The sequence below is a fragment of the Homo sapiens genome, chromosome 1 (assembly GCF_000001405.40).
Source record: "Homo sapiens chromosome 1, GRCh38.p14 Primary Assembly".
NCBI classification, from domain to species: domain Eukaryota; kingdom Metazoa; phylum Chordata; class Mammalia; order Primates; family Hominidae; genus Homo; species Homo sapiens.
In genome coordinates this window covers 198,260,649-198,284,837 of record NC_000001.11, presented here as the reverse complement: position 1 = coordinate 198,284,837, position 24,189 = coordinate 198,260,649, and the positions used below count along the sequence as shown (strand labels likewise).

At 32.6% G+C, this 24,189-nt stretch overlaps 1 protein-coding gene across 17 annotated transcripts in view, besides 1 other annotated feature; it reads right to left on the bottom strand.

Moving 5' to 3' along the window:
* The window catches only part of NEK7 (NIMA related kinase 7), a 165,423-nt gene that overhangs the window by 37,583 nt on the left and 103,651 nt on the right, over positions 1 to 24,189 (bottom strand). For 8 of the 17 annotated variants that reach the window (XM_047446563.1, XM_047446562.1, XM_047446567.1 and 5 more), the window contains 4 exons: positions 22,201 to 22,263; positions 20,603 to 20,713; positions 6,769 to 6,877; positions 5,777 to 5,884 (listed from right to left, as the gene is read on the bottom strand). In XM_047446563.1, coding sequence (XP_047302519.1) covers positions 5,777 to 5,884; positions 6,769 to 6,877; positions 20,603 to 20,713; positions 22,201 to 22,263 — 391 coding nt within the window. Of the gene's footprint in view, positions 1 to 5,776; positions 5,885 to 6,768; positions 6,902 to 20,602; positions 20,714 to 22,200; positions 22,264 to 24,189 lie in introns of all 17 variants that reach the window. The other 9 variants (XM_047446560.1, XM_017000345.2, XM_017000344.2 and 6 more) reach the window with 2 other exon arrangements.
* Positions 19,525 to 19,819: a silencer, noted in NCBI's record as "tiled region #4677; HepG2 Repressive non-DNase unmatched - State 15:Elon". NCBI's record gives its function as "represses a minimal TATA promoter and a strong SV40 promoter by Sharpr-MPRA in HepG2 cells {active_cell/tissue: HepG2}" and the evidence as "EXISTENCE:reporter gene assay evidence [ECO:0000049][PMID:27701403]".

Genomic DNA, 24,189 nt, shown 5'->3' with positions numbered 1-24,189 from the left:
ATAGGAAATAAGGGAAGTTTGATATGATTTGCCTAGAAATAGTATATATTTGGAATATATAAAATTGTTCTGGTACTCTGTTTATATGTTTAAATATTCAATGATTAAGATACTTATCTCTTAGTAAGCTGCCTCTGGTTCAGAATGTTTTTATTTGCTGAAAGGAGACCTCAGAGTAACTTAAGAAACAGAAATATACCAAAAGTACATTTTGCCTCTTACGATACGAGAAAATTTATTACTTGATTGCCGTGTTCCAATTTCACAAGTTTTGGTGAAATTTTAGCTTTCAGTATAAAATAGCCACTTCTTTAGAAATATCAGCTAAAGTTAAGGGTGGACAGATGGCCATGAAGACAGATTTTGATATCCTAGCGGCCTATTTCCTGTTTACTTCTGAATCTTGGAGCAGCAAGAGTAGTCAATTCTAGGAGAGAGAGCAAACTATGTCTTCATATGTAGGCTCCTAAGCAATGTAACAAAGCCGAATATAGTATTTCTAGATCTAATAACAACAAATCAGAAAACAGTATAAAGAAAGAAAAAATGTCACAAGGAACTGACATAATGAAAAAACAGACTTCATGCTAGAGTAAACCCAGACTAGGAAGCCACAGACCTATTCACTATCTTCTAGCTGTTTACCTTTCTCTGCTTCGTTTTCTCAACTTTAGAATACGAACAGCTCATGTGCATAGCTCACATGTATGTGTAAGGATTTTAGAGAGTTGAATGATTTGCAAACTGTAAAGAACTATGATAAATGTTATTATACCCCTCCAGAAGCACAAGAAGCTGTGTAAATGAGTAATTTATGATTGACCAATTCAACAGGCCAGATAACAAGTCTGGAGAATGTCCAAAAGTAGGTAGAAAATGGGAATTAGCCTTTAAGTAAATGAAACAGCATGAAGGCGCTGCAGACCTAGACCACTGTTTTCCAAATTGTGGGTCATACAACCCATTAACGAGTTGTGAAATCAATTTAGTGGGCTGTAACCAGTGTGATTTCTAGTGAAATAACATAGAACAGACAATATCAGAATGTAATGCAGTTCCATCATTGTCAAGAAATTTGAAAGCCACTGACCTATACTATTAGAAAGCTTAAGAAAGTTGTGCCCTCATCATAAATTTTAAAGATGTAGATATAGATAAGTTTCTTAACATATATTTTTATAAGATTGACAAATAATAAGGCAAAATTCATAAGTGTCCTACACTTATGTCAAAATATCCTACAATTAGTCTCCCTAGCCACACCTCCATACAAATTAATACAAAAACAACAATTGAAAATCTTCCCTAACATAACTTCGTGTAAAAACAAAAGTGAAGGTGGGAGGAGGATAAGGAGACCAAAAAAAACCAAACAACCGTTTAGATCACAGACCACAGGCAGTGTAAACATTCTGCTCTATGGGCTAATGAGTTCCAATGTGGTGTACTCTGCTCAGTTCTGGGTAGCACATACTAAGGGTACTCTGAGAGGAAAAGATGCAGACTCGCAGGACACAGAAGACCCTGAAGATAGGAGACTACCCTGGGCATGCTTAGCCCAAAGAAGAACGAAGGAGGCTCGTGGCTGCTGTCTTCAACCCATATCACATCGCTCTCATTATATTTAACCTTGGGAAAGCTTGCCACTGCACTTAGAATAAAATGTGAATTGCTCCTACATCCAGCCCTGTCTTTTCTTCACTCAGTTCCAGCAGACAGAGCTTATCCTGTATCCACCTTTTGTATGAAATGCTCTTCAGTCTACCTGGGACATTATTTCATAGCTGCCTCTTTTATATCCTTTACATCTCAGTTTAAATATCACCTTCTCAGAAGGGACTTGCCCCACCTCACTCTCTCCAAATTAGTTCCCCAACTGGCCATTTTCTGTCATATCACTAATAATTCATCCTAGTTTTTTGTTTGCTTTATTATCTATTTCCTCCCACCATAAGGTAAGCTCCCTGAGGACATGGACTTGTCTTGCTCAGGCTACATTCCTTGTCTCTAGAATAGCACCTGCATATAACAGGTATGAAAACTATTTTTTGAATCAATCAGTTCAGGCAGAATAAATAAATTGTACCTGGAGAACTCCTTTTCCACTTCCCCCTTTCTTTCTCTGCATCTTCATCACTTCACCACCACCACAAGCAATTGAACATTTATACAGTTCATTACAGTGTTAAGAAAACACTTGCATTCATTATATTATTTGGTCAGGGACTGTTTAGGAGTTAAGGGACAACATAGGATGGTTATTACCTGCATTTCTAGTTTTATAAATCCAGACACTGGGTTTTAGAAAAGTTAATACATGGCTTGATAAAGGTCCTACAGAGCATGCAAATCCCAAATTCTTCCCAAAGCATCATGCTTTTTCTCATGCTCACAAGAAAGCAAGAGGAAAAACATGGCTGGCACATCATGAACTGGGGAGATACAGTCAGTCAATAATCAGAGTGGGAAGCTAGAGGACACCAAACTGTAAAGGGCGCTGAATGCCAGGCCAAGGACCTTGCATGACATTCTTCAGGCAACAAGGAACCAAGGAGGATTTTGAGGAAAGTAACACAATCAGATAGTGTCTTTGAGGAAGATAACTCTAGTGGAAACACACAGAATGGATTATGAAGAAAAATATCAGAAACAAAAGAGTGTAATCTCTTAGTCCAAATGTGAAGTAATTGTTGAGTAAGGATGAGGGAACGGAAAGTAGAGATATTTTGAGACAATGTATGTGGTGGTAGCAGGGAGGAAGCAGAAAAACAAGTGAAGACCTGTTAGGATATTTTTCTGTTTTGAAGATCTGAACATAGTTTGAACATGCAGCAATATCAGATTTAGTATTTGTAATTTTCAATCCTTATATTAAAGGAATTACTACTATGCTATGTCATCATACTTTTAAGAATTGGTTCTGAAAACTAATTGGAAATGTGGCCACCTATACAACTTTATTTGCTACAGAAGACAGACTACAGGTTTTATTGTATGTTGATTTATTATGGAATGAAAAGATACAAATAAGAGACACAAAATGAATAGACAATTGAAAATGCAAAGACTTGCCAATCTCTTAAGGACTGTTAAATACAAAATAGTTTTGGAAGTGCACGATCCTATTAATGAATTAAAATGAGTTAAAATCGTATCTTGATTTTTCAACAAAAATGTATTTTGAAAATATAAATGCATAAGATGTTTTTAAAATCCTATATATCTTTGCATTTTAAAATTAAATTCCTGAAAATACCTCCTTTCCAAAGTTAAAAGAAATTTGGCTCCAGTACAAACTTTGTTTAAAGTAAACTTACTCAGATTTTTCTTTATGAACTACATAGAGATTTCATTTATTTATAGTTTCACTGAAATTTATACCTGCTCTATGGATGAATCATGACCTATAGATTGTATCCTCAGTAAAATTAAAAAATGAATCAACATACAATAAAATCTATAGTTCTACTGTGTTTTCTATAAGCAAAATAAATTTGCATAGGTCACCACGTTTTCAATTACTTTTCAGTGCCAACTCTGAGAAGAAAACTTAAATTTGCTCTTAAAAATATATGACAACATAGCAGAGTAATACTTTTCCAAAAGTAAAAATTAGGGTCAATTTGTCATCAAGAATGTCTGTCAGGATTTCTATCCTTGCTATTTTATACATATTGTATGTTAGCAGAGAATTTTTCCTGATTCTTCTAAGTAGGATTTTTATGGAGTCCAAAGAGCCTTAGTAGACTGGAGTCCAAATTTTAATTATTTGTATTCAATGCACTATGCTTAGTGAACTTTAGTTTTAAACAATCAAAATCTTCAGTTCACAGAGAAGACAAGGGATAAAGGAAATTTTCTTATTTTAAGGATATATTTTTTCTCAAAATAATATGTAAAACAAAAAATACTTGTGAAAAAATTATATTCTATGATTCATCTGTTAAGAAAACAGTCTCATTTCTATTTTTTCACTGCTGTATTTCAGGTATGTCTTAGAATGCTTAGTAATTATGGGCATGAGCATATGTTTATTTATAATGTGTATATATACACACATTATATATATAAAACAATATATATTATATAAATATACATAATGTATATATATTACATATATATAATTACATGACCCTAGGTAAGTTGATTTTGATAAAACTTGGTATGAGAAATTCATAATGAATTATTAAATCTATTCAAATTAATTTTACTCTATAATTTCTACTAGCATATCACCTCAATTTGGAGATGCATATATGTTCTTAAATTCTGTTTAGAACTTTTACAAGAGGCAGTATCAGGTAAACCAAACAAAATGGTTAAGAAGTGGGTTTCATATAATAATGCTGGATCCTTCAGACTGGATAACTACAGCAGGCTCAGAGACAGTCTGCAAAGCAGCATGTAAACAACACACGTGTGTGCATGAGCAGGGGCATGTGCAGGTGTGTGTGTGTAATTGTAGCCTGGCATTTCTAACTAAACTAGTGACAGAATGCTTTTATGACATTCTTCTATTCAGATGAGTAATATAAAGTGAAAACATGCTATCTACTAGTGATAAATGGCCCTGGCTTGGAACAGTCCAAGGTTTTCTCTATAGAACTCCTCCACTCTTTGTATTGCATGTACTGTAACTTCCCCAATAAAACTTTATTAAAGTGCTGGGCAAACTTATCCATTTCTTATGGAATTTCATGTCAAATTTCTTTATTCAGGAAAAATTATAACGCTCTATGAAAATAAATGTGAAGTGAAAGGAGAAAAAAACTATGTTATTCAGCATCACTGTGAAATTTCATTTTCTCAAAATATTTGACAAAATTGAAATCCTGTTAAAAATGCAAAGCATTATCTTTCTAACACTCTTGAAATTAGGATACAATATTTTGTAATTCAGCAAATATTAATTGAGTACCTACTTACGTTTTAGGTACTGTTTTAGAAATATAGAAAAATTCGATGACAGGTTCAAGGCCACACGGAACCTTAGGTAACAAAGCCAGAAAAACTTAAAATCTCTAGTCAACTAATTCAGATGCTCATTTCACTATTTTGTTATTTAGTATAACTCATTTGTTCCTCATCAGGCCATTTAAAAGGTTTTTATTTCATATCTCAAAACAATTTTATTAAAAAAAAGGCTTTCTATGAAATTATGACACCAAAGATGAGCACCATTAAATTTAAGCAAACTTATTTTTAACATAACTTTTACTTAATTCTGATTGTCACCATTTGATCTAAGTCCTGTATTTACAAGGAGAATATATAATTTGAGGAGTTTTAAGATAAGCCCTATCACTCCTTTTAAGTTACTCAATTTAAAAATGATCTCCTTTAGTAATTTCTATTAATTCTAAACAATAACACTCACAGCCATATACTTTATTTTAATAAATAAAAATTTACAAACTACTATTGTATTTTTAAATGGTCAGGTGAAGTCTTCTTCCAAGAGACAGCTTAATCACCATATTATCTATTATTAAATGTACAATAAAAGGACTTTTCTATGGCAATAGTTAAACCAGACTTATCAGCATTTTTTTTTTTAACTCAGTGTCTGCCTGAGGTCAAGTTAACAGAAGTATCCAACTGTCATATTAGAGGAAACCTTATACCTAATAGAGAGTTGCAGGCATCTGTTCAGGACCTGGTGATTTTTAAAATAGTTTTATTAAGAATGTAAGAGCTGGCATGTAATTGGTATACCTCTTATCTTTTAATCACACATACACAAAGTAACTGAATGAAATTATATTGTGTCTCTTACCTAAAGAATGTGCAGCTGTGGTTTTTGAGCTGAAAAACCGGCCAAGCCCAAGATCTCCAAGTTTTACCACCCCAGTGGCTGTAATGAACACATTAGCTGGTTTTATATCTGTGAATAAATGAAGGGATCAGGTAAAAGATGATAGACATTTTAGAAATTTTAAAGGAATTAACAACTACTTTTCGTGACAGAATTTAAAATTTATTTTAATCATGAAAGTTTGATTTATGAACCAATTAGTTTATTTTGAATAATTCTGATATATCCTAATACCTAGGAGTTCTCGATTCTCTGCTAGACAGCTAATCATCAATGTAGCATGATGAACATGATTATTAATTTCTATTTCAAATGCATTTTGTTTTCCATTTTCAAAAAACCTGTGAAATTCAAAGCACAAAATACACGTGTCCTTTTGATATCAATTTTAAATAAAATATCTTAATAAAAATTAACTTACTGGTAGATTTGCATAAAATATAAAACCACGACAACACTATAAGGCACATATTTATTTACTTAGATGGCTTTAAAAATCTTAATTGCATAAATGAATTGTATTAAAATTTTTCACACTTCAGTATCAGCGGATCAATTACTTATTGATGTAATGTTAACACACTCTGCTCAACCACTTGAATGAAAAGAATGCTGAGCTAATACTGAATATTAAAAATCTAAGTGGTTATGATATACATTGTTTATTTGAAGAAACAAAAAACTCTTCCTTATATATATTTGATTGCTGTCTTATCTTTACCAACAGCATCTTACTGGTTAGTAAGATGCTCAAAAGAGTCAAGCAGATTAATTTACATTCTTATTTAAAACCTAGTAGTGCTTTATTTAAAGGTTTAACATTCTAGCATAATTATAATTTGAAAATAATTACCTGAAAAAGTATGGTATTATGTACTGACTTGAAGACATTTACTTTGAAGAACTTACATCATTTAAAACAAGATTAAAAGTACTTAATGATTTTATCTTACCTCTATGCATGACTCTTCGAGAATGCATGTGTTCCAATGCACTGCAAAGCTGAACAAAATACTTCCAAACAGTTCTTTCAGGAATTAGCCTCTTTTGCTTCTTAAAATGCTTTTTGAAAATTAAAAATAAGAACTATAAAAACTAAAATTTCTCAAGACTGGATTCTGGTAAGCAAAAATCCGTAAGTCAGAAAAACAGCTAATTTTATCTACCATTATCAACTAAAAAGCATATGATCTTTATACTGAAATTATTCCAATAATTTTATCTGACATAATGGCTTAAGTTTTTTTCCTATTATAACTAAGGTTAGCGGAAACTGTGTAACAGTACCTTTTTGTGATGTCCCACTATTTCAAAAAATTAACATCTATATAAAACAATTTCTTGTCTTAAAAGGAAGATGTCAAATTTGATTTTAAGAAGAGCCAGAATAAAAAAGTCTAGATACCAGTAGGTAATTATGTTCATTAAAAGACAATTCTTCTCCTGGCAGAAGGTTTCACTACAGAATTCCTTTTAAATATTGAACCACCCTGGTGATTTGAAATATCATAATTTATTAAAAATTAAACAAATAAAAGGAATTTATGTAGAAAGTTTTCATGAATATTTCTACTGCACAATGCAAGTCAAACTTGTACTTTGCTTTGAATGAATGAAACTAAACTCCATGGAAGAAAAACCTTACAGGAATGCCCAGGCAAAAAGCTGACAGCACCAATAGGCTACTTAGGAGAGGGGTCCTGGCACATAAGAGGGCAAATACTACAATAATTGTAAAACCAGAGGTACTTATTTATGCTCATTTTTTCTACAATAAATCTGCTAGAAGACTATACTAATAATATACTACTTCAAGGACAAAGTTCTTAGCTTCATAAGACTTACAAAGATTCAACACATAAAAATTATTTTTCAAAAACAAAATGCAACTGGTTTCCCATTTAACAATACCTATAAATGACCAACATGAATATTGCATTGTAATAGGTTTCCATAAAATTTTCTAATAATTTTAACTGTTTTAAAATATATATAGGTATTAAAATTTAAATATGTACTTTAATGCAATTTATCCAAAGACATTTTGAGAAGTCCAACTAAATTGATTTTTTGTTATTGAATATGGAGGAACTATACTTGAGAAAATTCTAAAACAGCTACCTTTCAGTTTTTACACCTGTGACCAGCTGAGGGCAGGCTGAATGGAAAAACAGTACAAGGAAATCTGCTGATATCCTTACTTCATACTTAGCAAAAAATTATATCTACTGTCTCATATGTACTCAAGGTATGTACCAAAAGATAAATCTTTAAGGAAAAGCTAATAATCTTAGTTTAATCTTTCTTATAACACATATTACAGAAATAAATTTATTAGCAATTTCAATAGTTATTATATCAGTAACATTACATCCCAAAGAATAAATAACAATTAGATGACCAGGTAATTAAAAAGCAAATCAGGGTCTTACTAAAATGTTAGAAACCTCCCATATCATGTTTCAATACTAAGTCTTTTTAATTGCAGACTGTGTCAACATCAGTTTTCATTCAAAGGGGGCAATGCTACAAAATCAGTTCTTTACACATAATTTTCTTTCAGACTTGGAATGAGTCCAAATAAACCCTGTATATGTGCTCTCCCTGATGCTGGATTAGCATATCAGAGGACTGTTTGATGTCAACAGGAAGATGGGGACCAGGTTTCTTTTCATTCAAAAATAAATATAACATATCATGTGTGTATCAGACCATGAAAACAAATTTTTATGCTTTAATACGGATTTTGAAATCATCATAATTATAATGTAGTTGGCAGTTTACTTTTTAAATACCATTATAAAAAAGAAATCAAATCTAAAAGAAAAGGCATAATTTAAAAATTGCCCCCAAATTGCACAATAGGGAAGACGTTACCGGACCAAGATAATCTGATTATTTTCATGTTTTTGTATTCTTTGAGACTGTAACTTACAAGTTAAACCTGATGACAAGAAGCTGAATTCAATATACTACTACTCAGAATGACCTGGTCTAAGAGTTAAGTATCCAAATTCGTTATAGGCCTTTAAAGAATGACATGAATTTGACTTTTTCACAAAATAAAGGCAGTTTCATTATGCCATTAGTATCTCTCATTATTTTTAATGTGTGTGTTTAAACATATGTGGTTTTTAAACCATTCCTTAAGTATAGGGTTTTGGGGGTTTGTTTTTTTTTGTTTTTTGAGAAAACCAACACTTAAAATGAGAAAAGCCTGTCTGTTCTGATGGTGGCACTGTTGGCTATCTCTTAAAAGAGGATGAACAGCAAAAAGGCAATGAAAATTCGAATTCTTTTTACTATGGGTAAAATGTATATTAGCACTACAAAGCAGGAACTTCCATAAAGCCAAAGAATTTAAAAAAAGAAAGGACAATCTTCTCTTAAAATTTATTCTAATAAACACATATCTTTTTAAAAGTTAATTATCTAGCCAAAGAGCATTATTGTTTGAAAATCCTGTTTCCCTTGAAAAAAGGCAGCCCTATATAAATGTTTAGCTCTGATTAAAAAAAAAAAAATCTAATGCCAACGTGTAAAAAGTAAAAATGTACATATATTTGTTATATAGTAAGTTTTTAATATAGCAATAAATAATGTAACCAATCCATCTAAAAGTTGGTATCAATATAAATATTTATAAGAAAATGAAAGAATATGTGACAGGGCGCTTTTACAATATTTATGCTATGAAATAGAATTGCAACTTTTTTATAGTTGAAAATAAAGTATCTGAAAATTTATGGGCAGGCAAAAATAAACACCCAGATATACCTGATCACTTGGACATAATTTTGTTTAGTCTTTTTTTTTTTTAAGTAGGCTAGTCTTTTCCCTATGCAAATCTTCAAATACTATTTACTTTAAAAGTAACTTTTCCACTTTTATCAAAATTATTCAAATAAATACTGGATATTATTCAAACAGAAAAATCAGATGTGACAAAAAGCTAATCAATTTACATATAAAAGTATGTATATACAAACATCAGATTATATTATTTCTGACTTATGTGTAAGAAGATTACCATCATTTCACTTAGGTGAAATTCAGCATATCTGGTAAAACCCATCTGCGTCACCACCTAAGTGATTTATATTAATATAAAAAGGGCTATAGCTGATCCAAGCTGTCTCCTTTCAAAGATTTTGGGAAAATAGTCACATCTTAATAGACACACTCTTTTTAAAATTATTCATCTCCAAACATCCCACTACAAATTAAATGACCAAGACCAAATCCAATTATATAGTGGACAGTGAATATCTAAGTATCATTTTTGAACTCCATTGAGTAACTTGGTTCCTGCATTCTAGACATTACAACTCCAAGTAGAATATACACTGCTTATTTCTGAGTTATATAATTCTAATATTCTTCCTCAAGAAATCTCAGGAAGAGCTTCAGTGATATTACCCAGCATAACCTCATCAACAGAGAAAGATAGAAAATGATCTTATTTTACAAAAAAATTACTATTCTCTGTGGCATATCAAAACATTTAAGCATAAAGTTTGACATGTTAATCTTTAAAAAAGAAAATTTCAGGCAAAATATCTGGAACTATCAGGGTCAGCTTCATGGGCAGGAAACCTGTGTTATGCAGGTCTGGCACTTGGGGTTTAAAGCTCTGTTACTGCCATCTTAAAAATTTTTAATTTTTAACAAAGGGACTTGCAATTGTGTAGCCAACCCAGGGAATCATACACTAAGCATCCTTTAGAAATGTACTGCTGTGGTTAAAAAAATAAAAAACAAACAAACAAAAAAATGCAATCCTGGTGTGCAAGGTGTTTTTGAAGAGGATTAGGAAAAATGTTAATTAAATGATGAGAAATAATGAAGTCATAAGAGAACTAGAATTACAGGCACCAGCTGCTCTCCATTTCTTCCAAGTATCTAGTAAGAGGAAGTAAGTGATTTATGTTAAATATAAGGAAGCATTTCCTGCTTGGAGTGTTGTCAAATGTTTAAATGTGCCACTAACACAATCCATATCCATCTTATAATAATAGACCTGATTATAAGGTTTGACAGTAACTGGTTGTGTGACCTTGAACAAGCCATTTAACCTTGATGGGTCTCAGCTTCCTCACTCTATTATAAACAGAGTTTGGAGATGATCTATGACGTCTCCACCACTTCTAAAATATAATCTGTGGGTCTACAGTCTTAGTTTCAAATAAAACAGAAATAATAAATGTCTGTTTGGCACATTTCATACTTAAAAATAATAGTTTCTTGGTATGCCTTATCCTTCATATATCCAATTAGTAAAAACAAAGCAACAACAAAAAAACCTCAGAGATCCCTATTGGTCCATTTAATACTATAAAAGGTCTTAACATGAGATGACAAGCAGTTAGAATTCTTTGTTATAAGTTTGTAATTAGGTCAAACATTTACCATCAGAGGGGATGTTAAGTTCTCAAACACAGCATTGTAATTATAATGCAATTTTATAAGACTATATTTTGTCGTGGTTATTTCAAAGAATTAAATTCACAGAGACTGGGTGATGAAAAAGATAGGATGCTTCTGGAAGTATAATGGACAGTTCTAAGTGTGATTTTTATCATTTATTAATCTTTCTATGGAAACATTTTTCTTTGGAAGGCATAATGAGGTATCAACAAACTAAACTTCACAAATATTTGCTATACATAATTGTGGGAAATTATATAAAATTAAAATTTTGGTATGTAACACTAATTTACAGTGCATAAGTATTTTCTCTTTTGGCACAATGAATACAATTCAGATATCTTAAGTTGCATTAGAAGGTGTAAAGTAGGATGGGCCTGACAGTCATGAGATCACTGAGAATACTTATCACTAGCATCTCATTTTATCTTCTTATCCAAGGTCTACTAGTCTTTGTCTTTTCCTGTAATGTTGGAAAATCTATTAAGAGTGCTAAGCTGTTTTTAGATTATAATAGAATATAAATATAATCAATTCATTCCCAAAAGTTAAAATGGTGCAAGTTATTAATGCAAGCCAAAAATATATTTCATCTTAGGGTAGAAAATGTGAAACAGAAAATATTTTTCATGAGCAATTACACCTTGAGGGAAAAAAACCTCTTAAATTATTTAGCAAACAAGAAAACTAAGTACCCATAAAGTCACAAAACTTCCCCAAAACAGTTGCCTCCTGAAAACTGGTACATCAATATCAAGGCAACTTATTTAGAATATTAAAAAACTAAAAGATCAACAATAAAAACACATGAATGCATCAGAATTACTAAAAAGAATGGTCCCTGCATTGCTGCCATGTGAATAATTCTTAAGAGAAGTTTCCACATTACTAAAACTGATAAGAAAATACTTGGAAATACTTAAAATGTTTTCTCTATTGCATCAGAGTACTAGTGATAGATAAAGTGAGATTAAAAAGAACAGTCAGTCAGTCTTCGAGGAGAAATAGAAGGTCACAAAGATAAACAGAAATATTTCCCTCTTTAATAAATTTTCTTGCTATGTTATACTAGACAACACTAAGAGAGTTGAAGAGATATTTTAATTTTCATAATGAACAAAGAAAACACAGCAGAACAGTAAAAGTATCTCAATTGAAATCTAAAGGAGAGAAATTAAGATGCTTAGCATAATGGTGTCTGTATCCCTTATCTTTACTTAAGTGTCTACAGTTACCAAAATTACTGCTCACGATGGTATTACATGGTTTACAAAAGGGAGCTTTATATCATTATCATCTTCAAATGTAAGGAGCAATAAGCTCCTTCAAAATTATCTTCAATTTTTTCCAAGCAAACAGAGTTCAAAGTTCGTACATCACCTTTTATTTATGCTCACAGAATTAAATAATGGTCATTTCACGGTATAAAGTGTTCAATTTCCTAAAATCTCTAAGTTCTATACTGCTTCGACTTCAAACTACTTAAGTATCAAGGAAAACCCAAGTGATATTTTATCTGTAACATTGCTCTTAAAAAAATAATTCTATACAACACACCTACATATACATACCATATGTAGACATAAATTTATACAGATATAGACACATAGATGTACATATGTTATGTATAGGTACCTAAGTAAATGTATCTATGTGTGTGTGTGTGTGTGTATATATATATATATATATAAAATATAAATTTTTAATTTATATATATATAAAATAATATTCAATCCTGGGTAGTTTTTTCAGATAGTGCTAACTTGCAACCTTAGGACTTCAGAATAATTCTAAAATGAAATATAAGACAGGTGATGATCTCATACAAAAGACTTAGTGGGAAACTGCATTTGGAATCACTGGCAGTTCTCATAATTGTCTGATATGGGCTATACACTTTGTCCAGATGCTGAAATGGAAAGTGTGGGTATCCTGGTAAACAATAAATCAGAGTTATCAAAGAGAGATGGGACTGCTGGGAAACCTTTATTGCTTTAAGGATCCAAAGGCCAAGAGTGTAAAAGACATTTCAAAGTGATTTTATTTCCAATACAACCTCTACATTTGGATAAGGACAAATAAAGATGTGTCTGCAAATGTAAAAACAGCCAAACCAAGTATGTGAACAAGATTTTTAAGTTATAATATTTGAAGATAACAGTTATCTCCAAAACATGGTTGACATTCTAGCTAATTTATTAACGTCTGTCATAAGCAGAATTCTAAGATGTACCTCACTCCCCCAAATTCTCAAGTCCTGTTGTATAATCCCATTCTCTTGAATGTGAGTAGGGCATGTGAATATTATGAATTACTCTCCCATTTCATATGATGTTATAAAGAAGAAGGGATTTTGCAGATGTAATGAAGGTCCCTAATCAGCTGACTTTGAGTTAATCAAGAAGGACATTAGCATGGGTAGTCATGACCTAATTGGGTGAGCCATTCAAAAAAGTCAAGAGAGATCTGAATCCAGAGAAACTCTCCTGCTGGTCTTAAGGGAACACAATGGCAGGTTGTGGAGATGAATGGGGCAGAAAATGGCCAGCAGCCTCAAGAACCTAAGGATACCCCCAGTTGACAACCAGGAGGGAAGTAGGAACTTTAGCCATACAACTTCAAGGAACTGAATTCCCCCAAAAACCAGTGAACATGGAGAAAGACCCTGAACCTCAGTGAGCTCACAGCCCCAGATGGCACCTTGATTTCAATTTTCTAAGACCTTCAGCAGAGAACCCACTAATCCTGACCCACAGGAATCTAGAGTAATAAATTTGTGTTGCTTAAAGCTGCTAAATTTGTAGTAATTTGCTATGCAGCAATAAAAAATTAATACAAAATACAGTTGTAAACACATGAAAAATCAGTATGTAAAATTAATCTTATGTATGTATAAAGAAAAAGAGTTTTAAGGCTCCTAGCAAATTTAGAAGGAATGACCTACAGGTGGTAACAAGGTAGAAAATACAAAGTCAGCAATCTAAGAAGATAGCCTATACCTAAATATCCTAGAAATAAGAAATGATGGTCTTATTTATTTATTTTGTGCAGTACCAAACTCCTGGCAGGAAACAGACATCCATTTAAATTATTTGTATTGCATATTTCACTAAAAAAATTGTAAGAATAATATTCATTTCCTCCTTAGCCACTGTGATACGGTATGACATTCTCTTGGCAGATAACAAACCTCTGAGTTTCTTCTCAAAACATTAGGTTACATTTTGTTTTATTGCTAGTCTAGCAAAACAATTTTTAAAAATATATAATATTAAATACATGCATTTACAGTTTCTTCTATTTGTCTCAAATTGACCTATATTAATTCAAATAGGTAGTTATAAATACAGGCACTTACAAATTAATTCAATGAATGAAGTATATTTTGTGAAATGAACTATGAAAATTTAAAATATATTTTAGTAACATTTCTATTGACAAGTTGAAATTTTAAAATCCTCTTATTTATATATTTTTTGAGATTAATTTCCTCTACACTGGGTCTTCATCACCAAATATGTTTCTTGACATTAGAATAGTGAAATAAACAGTATAATAAGACATACTACAAAATGGAGCATGTATGTGTCCAATTTAACTACAATAAAGAAAATATATGGCATACACAGCACAATTTAACTGAAATCTGTTTTGTAAGAGTCGATTTTCCTTTAAAATTCTGATTGCTGATAATGAAGAAATTATGATGAAAAATTCTAGATTTCCTTTTATCCTAAAACTCATCTGGGAAGTATTTCATCTGACCACAGCCTCAGGTATTCCTTTGTCACTAATTAGAGAAATACTGAATATTTCAACTATAAATTGCTTAATTATATTTGTCAGCCTGCTCTGAACCAATTAATTATTTACTTGTAAAAATCTTTGATGCAATGCTATCCAGAGGTTCATTTCTGGAATACAGACCAGAAGCTATATTTCCTCTTGTACCCCAATTAAGCTGAAGACTTGAGAGAATGAAATATATTGTTATGATGCACAATGATTTACAATATTACTCACTAAAAAGAAATGAATCATGTTCATTACAATTCAAGCATTCACTGCTGTCCTTTGTAAAGCTTTAAGGCATTGTTCTATTCCTTCACAAAAGAAGTTCCTATGATTTTTTTTCCTGATATAATCTATTTTATAAAGAACTGCTTACAGAACTAATAAGCATGTTCAGAAAACAATTTTAGAATTTCTTAACTACCCAACCCCACTCCCGTAAAAAAATACACTGAATATCACAGCAACTCTCTATGAAACGAGAGCATAAAGCAGCAGGAAATTGCTGTGACAGTTATACAACCACCCATGTTATCTACTGAGCCCTGGAACAGAGAAGTGTAATAGAAGTAAAACAACCAACTTCTATACATCTATTCACTACATATTTATTGAAGTTGGTGCTATGAGCTAGAAGCTGAAGATAGCCAGGCAAGCAAAGCCAGCATGGTCTCTGTGCTCAACAGAAATTTAAGTCTAATGGGAAATACAAACACCAATAAAATAATTACACACATGAATACATGATTATATTACTAAGTGCTATGTAGGAAGGGTACTCTGGGAGCACTTATACCATAAAGTACTCTACGAGTCAAAGGAAAATGCTTGAGGAAGTGATACCTAAGTAAAGAACTGAAGTACCAGCAGAAATAAAGTCAGCCAAGAATGGAGAAGAAGAGCATCCCAGGTAAAATAAAATCACATTCAAGGAAATGAAAGGCCAATGAGCCACAGCAAGAGCAGGAGTCAGATTCCATAGCAAATATATGCTGAGCACAAGCTCTGTGCTAGGCACTGCTCTAGGCACTTGGGATATGTGAATACACAAAACGGACTCGGATCCTCTCTGAGGGAGCGTATCTTCTGTATCACACAAGGCTTGCTGAATCTTGCCAAACATTTTAGTCTTTACCCTTAAAGTGAAAACCTAGAAAGATGTGATTGAAAGGAAGTTTTTCTTTTTTCTTTGTTTCTCTCCCTTCTAACGTCTTAAAGACTGATGGAGAAACGGATTTAAGGAATGGGTGCTGGATGTTGGGAGACAAAAAGCTCTCGCTCTCTCCAAATGAGAGACGATAGGGAGAGAAATGGAAAGGGAGCTGGGTGGAGAAATTTGAAAGGCATTTAGAAGAAAAAATAAACAGAATCTGGTGAGATTGAAAAGAAGAGGTAAGGGAGAGTGAAATGTCAAAAAAAAGTCCTGGTTTCCAGAGTGCACGAGATAAACTGGTGCCAGGCCTCGAGTTAGGGAACATGGGAGGATGGGTAGTCTGTAAGGAATTTGTTTACAGACATATTGAGCCATATAGAGTCAGAATTTAAAGAGCGCTCCATGCTAAAGATAAAAAATTGGAAGTCAACAAGAGTATAGAGAGTAATTGAATCCGTAGGTATGAATGAGATCAGCTATAACGTAAGAACATTAAAAAAAAAAAGTCAAGGACTGAAACTTAAAATTCCATCATTAAAGGCCAGGAAGAAGAGAATGAGTCAGTTAAGAAAAATGATAGTCTCCAGAGAGGTAGGAAGAAAATCAAGACACTGTGGGACTCAATAAGCCGATGGAGGAGTGTTTTAGGAAGAGAATGAAAAGCAGAGCCAAATGCTGCTGAGAAATCAAGCAGAATGAAGACTGGACAAAGTCCTCTGGTTTCATGAGAGAGGTCATTGAAGAGCCATTACGAGTGGTAGGTTGGAAAGAGGGTCAGGAGTAAGTGTCTGACTGTGAAGGAAAAAAAAGAACTAGGGTAGTAATTGAAGGAAAAGGCAGGCAGAGGTGAGGGTGGTAGGACTTAAGAGGGTCTTCTGAGATCATCTTACTTAAAATAGCAACACACAGGCTGGACACAGTGGCTCACACCTGTAATCCCAGCACTTTGGGAGGCTGAGGCAGGTGGATCACCTGAGGTCAAAGTTCGAGATCACCCTGATCAATATGGGGAAATCCCATCTCTACTAAAAATACAAAAATTAGCCAGGTGTGGTGGTGCACACCAGTAGTCCTAGCTACTAGGGAGGCAGAGACAGGAGAATTGCTTGAACCTGGGAGGCAGAGGTTGCAGTGAGCTGAGATCGCACCACTACATTCCACCCTGGGCGACAGAGTGAGATTCCATCTCAAAAAAATTAATTAAATAAATAAAATAAAATAGCAACACACCTCCTCCAAACTCCTTATTTAATTTTTCTCAATTGATTTATCAACATCTGGCATATCATATATTCTACTTGCTTTTAGCATTTTATTTGACTTCCCCACTGGAAAATAAGTTTCTTGAATGAATGAATGAATGAATGAATGAATGAGGAACAGGTGTGTGTGCATGTATATACATGTAAATATGTTTAAAATAACAGTGACCTGAGCATATTTAAATGATGAGAAAAGGCACTCAGAAGTGCACAATGGTTATAAATCTAGGACTGGGAACAGATAATGATAGGAATTAAGATTTCTGAGAATACAGGCAGAGAAAGGATAGAGAACCCAGGTGGAGGGACACATAACAATCCCTCCTATCTAACAAGAATACGGTAACAGGAGAGAAGGAGGAGAGAACAGTAACAGACACAAGTAGGTCTAGCAGGTTCAGTTATGGGAAGGTGAGGGTGCTCCTGTCTAGTGACTTCTAAATACTCTGTAAAACTGGAGGAATAAAGTCAACTTTGAAGAGTAGAAAAGGGTAGATTTGTATGATGCAAGGGGGCTAGAAGAAGAGTAGTGATCAGAGGTTTAAATGGAATAAAGAAAATGTGAATACCTATCAGATATCATACATGCATACAGGCACAGATGGATGGGTATGTGCACATACATTTGTACATATGTCTTTAAAAAGTATATATATAAACATACTATATATTATATTACTTAACCATCATAACAACACTGTAAGACAGGTATTACTGACCCAATTTTATTGATGTAGAAACTGGCTCAATCATTAAGATTAAATAACTAGGACAACTGATTAAAATCCTTTAATTGCCATCTGAATTCACCAGTGTAGTTTCAGAGATCCTGTTATAATCATCCCTTATAACCCACACTTTTCCTTTATATAACTCATTACAACTGCAGGTATATAGTTTTATATTAGTATTAGTCAAATGCCTGTTTCTCCCACTGGATGATGAGTTCCAAAAAGCCATGAACCATGCACCTGGCACATAGTAAATGTCTAATAAATGAAAAAATAAAATCTAGAGCTATTTTTTAAAAGCTACAAATTGGTACTAACTATTTAAGGGACTAATTTGGCAATAGCTATTATCATTTAAAATGTGCATACTCTTACTCGGCAATGTTTATATGAATCTATGTAATAGAAATAGACAATAGAGTATGTATAGATATAGTTGTATTGATGTAGATAAGGCTTTGTACTTGAGATTTCTCTGTAAGAATAAAAAATGAAAACAATCCAATTATTAACAAAGTAATAAAATAAATCGTGATGTGTCTGAGAAAGAATAAATGTATTAGTATATATTCTTATATTTAAATGGGTATAAAGATAGTAAGTAAAGTTGGGAAGGTTTTGTGCACGTAAAGGTTAGAGGTTATTTCTGGGACATGGGAGTGAGGGAGAAAAAGGAAGGACCATATAAATAAAATTGGGTCAGTAATACCTGTCATATAGTTTTATTATGATGGTTAAGTAACATAATATATAGTATGTTTATATGTATACTTTTTAAAGACATATGTACTAATGTATGTACACATATCCATCCATCTATTTAAAGGCATATGTACTAATGTATGTACATATATCCAACCACATATCAATCTTTCCTACCTGCCCAGGAAATCAACTCTTTATCTACACTAAACAATGCAGGAAGCCAGCGTGCTATAAGTTAGACTTGCAGGAAGCCAGACTGCTACCTCTAGTGACAATCTAGGAAGCTAAACAGTAACTTCTATAACAATTGATTAATAACTGACAGCTTCCCTAATTTTGTCTCTGCCTCTAACTAGGACCAACCAGAGAAAGCCAAATATGTACTCCTAACCAATCACAAGGACGTCCTGTTTCTAGTCAGCCGGTCTATAGCTTCTCTATGTCAGCAGCCTCCCATCAGGGCATACCCAAAGGCTTCCCTTTTCTTCCCTCTATGAACCTTTCATTCCTTTGCTTGCTTTTAATTCTCTGCCAAGATGCAAGTGATGACTGGCTGACTCCCTTGCTACAGCAAGCTCAAATAAATAGCTTTTGTTTTTCTCATTCGGTTATTCTTGTTTGTTTCTAGATGGTTCAACTTGTCTTCCATAGTAACAGAAGTTTAGCTGGGCATATGGCCAGCTGAATGAAGACTTTCTTTTCCAGCCTTCCTTGCAGCTAGATAGGTTCATGAGAGTACATTCTGGCCAAGGGAATGAAGTTGAAAATGTTGTGTGACAGGCAGCACTCAGGAATGTGCTTTAAGATAAAGCCAGCATGTACTCTTTGTCCCTTCAAGCCTAGTGTGACTTGATAAGCTAGAAATAGGCTGGGTCTCTAAAATACTCTTGATAGAGCAGAGCTACCATACTAGCCCCAGACTTTTATGTGACAGAGAAATAATAACAATAACAATAATAATAGCAGCAGCAGATACATTTACATAGCCTTACAATGTGTGAGGCATTCTTCTAAGCTCTTAATAAATACTAATTAATTCAATCATTACAACAATCCTATAAAGTAGGTTCTATTATTACTGTGTTTTTTAGAAAATGTGACACAGAGAAGTAACTGGCCCAAGGACAAACAGTTTTTAAGCTACTATTATTTAAGGGTTTCTATTAATTGCAGCTGAACTTAAACCCAATTAATATGCCCTTAGAAAAGAAGGTTAAACAACTTAATTATATTAATTATGAATTAATATGCCCTTAGAAAAGAAGGTTAAACAACTTTTATGTGGGGTTGATATCCAAGGTCTGACTGCAAATCCCACTTTCTTTGATGGATTCCCCCCCAAGAAACAGGTCAAGCTGCTCTAGAGTCTCTTTCTACCTCCTTTTACTCATGTCCAGAGACACAGGATCAAGCATGGTCTGCTCAGAGAATCAAACAGCAAAACTTTAACTCAACTTACAGAAGACAAGTATCTTGGCCTCTTTCCAAGTTGGTTTTGGGGTGTTTAGATATTTAAGCTGATCAGTGTAAACATCACCAAGTAAACCAGTTTCAGAATTATGATCACTAACCATCTACTATTTGTTACATATCTATCAGATAAGCTTTGCATTGAGGTCTTTAGTTTAAAATATCTAATATCCCTATGTGTTTAACAGACAATTCTATTAGAAAAAAAAACAAAACAAAACATTAAGACAATTTTTTCAAAACTTACCTTGATCATTCTGGATAGGTCGCCAGCATCTGCTAGTTCCAAAACTATGTTTAGTTCATTATCTTCAATGAATGATGCATAATATTTTATTACATTTGGATGGTTGAGTTGCTGAGAAAATAAAACAGGCATCAGAAAGTTTTCTTACTGTAAATATCCAAGAGTCACTTATAGTTTTGTACTTAAGAACAAACTTCACCGTATTTTTTAAATTACAGAAATCTTAACATGACAGTATACTTTTCTTTAGTGAATTGTGAAACAAATATTACAATTATTAAAAGTAAAACTAGGTATAAATTAATTTATCTTAATATTCTTTATTAGAAAGAATATATTTTACGTTTAAATCTTAATTTAAAAGTACTGCTATGCCCAATAAGCATATCAACAGATGCAAGAAGTAAATGATAGAATTAGGTCGCCAACTGCTAAAAATTACATCCTCAAAATGAGAACTTTCATTTAGGAACACTCAATGATAAATAAAGTATCCCTTTTTACTCCTACTTGGAAGTTATGGTTGGTCCTAGAATAACTCCAGCTAGTAGACAAAACACAGCTGGTACCTACTATACTATATCTAACTATTGCTTTTATATCAAATAACATACAGGACTTATTCATGTGAGCCAATTCATAAAATCATCCCTAAGAAAAATTTTACCTTGTAGAAATATACGTATCAGTCCCTACTCATTTGCAATCCTTTTGTTCAATCTTTAAACATATTAATACAAGATGAATTGTTTCTCTGAGAAATTATGCAGAAAGTATGGGTGACTTTCTTCTTTCTACTTAAAGTTTTCGCTGCAAATTTTCTATGATGACATGCTATTTCCACAGTAAAAGTTTACATATATTTAAGCCAGCTACTTCATGTGCCAAGAAATAACTACAACTAACAGAATAGTCAGAAAACATTGTTTTGACCTTACTTTCTTCCTTTTTGCATAAATCTGGTTCATTTTAGGCACTAACACAAACGGATGGCATAAAAAAAGAGCGAAGTCTTAACTAAAAGTTAAAAATACAACATAGGCCGCAGTATTTCTCAAAAGAAACTTCACTATAAAAGAAGCAGTGCAGAAATAACTGAAATCTCAGTCATATTCTTAGTAGATGAGAAACTAAAAAGCTAATTCCTGGCATACTCTTTACATGCACTCTGTCTAAGTCTGGAAAAAGTATTGAAACATTAGAAAATGCATGTGAACCATTTTGATTAGTCCACATTCTCAATATAATACATGTTGAGATAATGCTAATTTGCATTTATATTACTTAACCTTTAGAATATGTCTTGTTGGGGTGGTCAAGAAAAAAAAATTCTTCAATGTTTTATGCCCATTTTATCTATTTCCTACTTTGAAATGAGAAAAAAAAGCTGGTCCTACAAATGTTCTGATTATGTTATTTAACAATAAATCCAAAAAATAACTACATTCTTCAGTATACTGAAATTTAACCTTATATAATATTACTTGAAATCAGTGTAGCATAAGTCTTAAAAACCTTTTTGTGTTTAAGTGTGATATTTTAGTAAATCACTTTTATCACCATGTTATGTTCAAAAGAGTCAACAGTTCATTAATTACCTTAAGAAGATCTATTTCTTTGATGCAATCAGCACGTGCTTTGGCATCCATTAAATCAAATATCTAAAAACAGAACCCAGAATTACTTAATAAAATAATAACCTATGGTTCAAGCTATTGTGTAAATTCATTTTAATACTCTACATGTAATTATTTGTACACTAAGGAATTTTCTTTCTGATTAGCTTTTCTTTATTAAGGAGTTCTGTAGGTATCTTATGTTACCAACATTGCTTACATTTTCAGCAGTCAGTATTTAAAAAATGGATAAAGAGAACAGGTAGATACCCCTTAACACTCAGGTCTTAAGTTCCAATGAACAAAATTAAAGTTGTGATTATTAAGATGATAAAGTAATAGCTAATATATGTTGAGCAATTAATATATGCTAAATGTACTGCACAACCTTATGAGGATGATAATAGTAGTATTCCCATTTTACAGATGAAGAAGAGAAGCTTTAGAAAGCTAAGGAGAATGACAAAAGGTCACACAGCTAATCAACAGAGCAAGCAGAATTCATTCTCAGAGTTATCCATCTAGAACCCAAGCACTGAACCATTAATCTGTTCCATCAAATCATGTCTAAAAGGTCTGATGCATGCATTCTTGACAAGGGTGATATCATTCCAAGGGGGTGAAAATTGGTTCTTTGTGGAGAAGGGTAACAAAATTTTACTCTATTAAGTATAAAGTATAGATACACATACAGTACTACACATAAACAGATATACTGTATTTGTGGAATTAAAATTTCATGGGTAGAGGTAATTAGGAAGAAATGTCTAAACAGGCAGCTTGGGGGGAGGATAATGAAGAAAAGGTTGAAAAATATTAACCTACTGTTAAAAACATAAAAATAAAAAATACAATCAAAAAGATATTTCATGTGTCTCTGAAAACACAAATCTCTCAAGGTTCTAAGTGTGTGGAAAATAACATTTAAAAAAGCAATATCTTAGAGACTGCAAAAAAAATCTAAGTCAGTACTGCAAGCTGATTAAAACCCTAGTTACATAACAAATAAAAAAATTAATGACATTTTTAGTAATCAGCTTGATCAAGTCTTCCTGATTCAGCCAGCTAACATTCCAGGAAAAGAAGGTACAATGTCAAAGGAGTGGCAGAATCCAAGTCTTTTTAATTAAAGAAGTAGTTATTAGACACTACCAGAGAGGGCTGGCCTCTTTACACATGATGCTTTAAACTTCATTGCAATCTTATAAGACAGGTAGTATTGGCCACAATAACAAGATGAGGATTGAGGCTCAAAAAGATTAAATAATATGCTTATGATCATAAAACTAGTAAAGGACAGAATCAGGACTTGAAGCCAGGTTGTTCTAGCTCCATAGTCAGTGTTTTCTCAATGAGCCAGGCTGTCACAAAGTCTAATGCATACACAACTAGCTAATAAGTATTAAAATATATGTGTGTACAAAGTGTAGTATTAGAAACCTAAGGAAGAAATTCCTTCCATGTAGGGTGGCGGGTACCATTAGAGGTGAACCTTGAAAGAATTATAGGATTCTGCCAGTCAGAAACAAAAGATATCTACTGCATAAAAGTAAATATGGAATAAGGGTGTAAAATTACAGCTTATAAGAGGCAACTTTTTCTAGATATCATTCTTAATATCCAAAGATACACAAAGTTCTAATTTGTCTTAATTTAAAAAACCATATGAAGATATTAGATAAGATTATAAAGCAAAAATAAAATCCATAAACTCACTGCCTTAAAGAATTTTAGCTTTGGCTCAGTCCCTTCTATTTCTTGTACAAACGCATGTGCTTTTTGCATAGTGAAAATAGCAGTATATAAAATGATATATATGCTTTTTCACTAACATTATTTTGGTTCTACTACTTCTAATGAAAACTTCAAGTATCAAATTTACGTTCTGCAACTTTTAATGTAAAATATTGAGCACTGCAGTTTAAGATTTGAAAAAATATAAAGCCTTACCTTACTTGATGGTTTACAAAA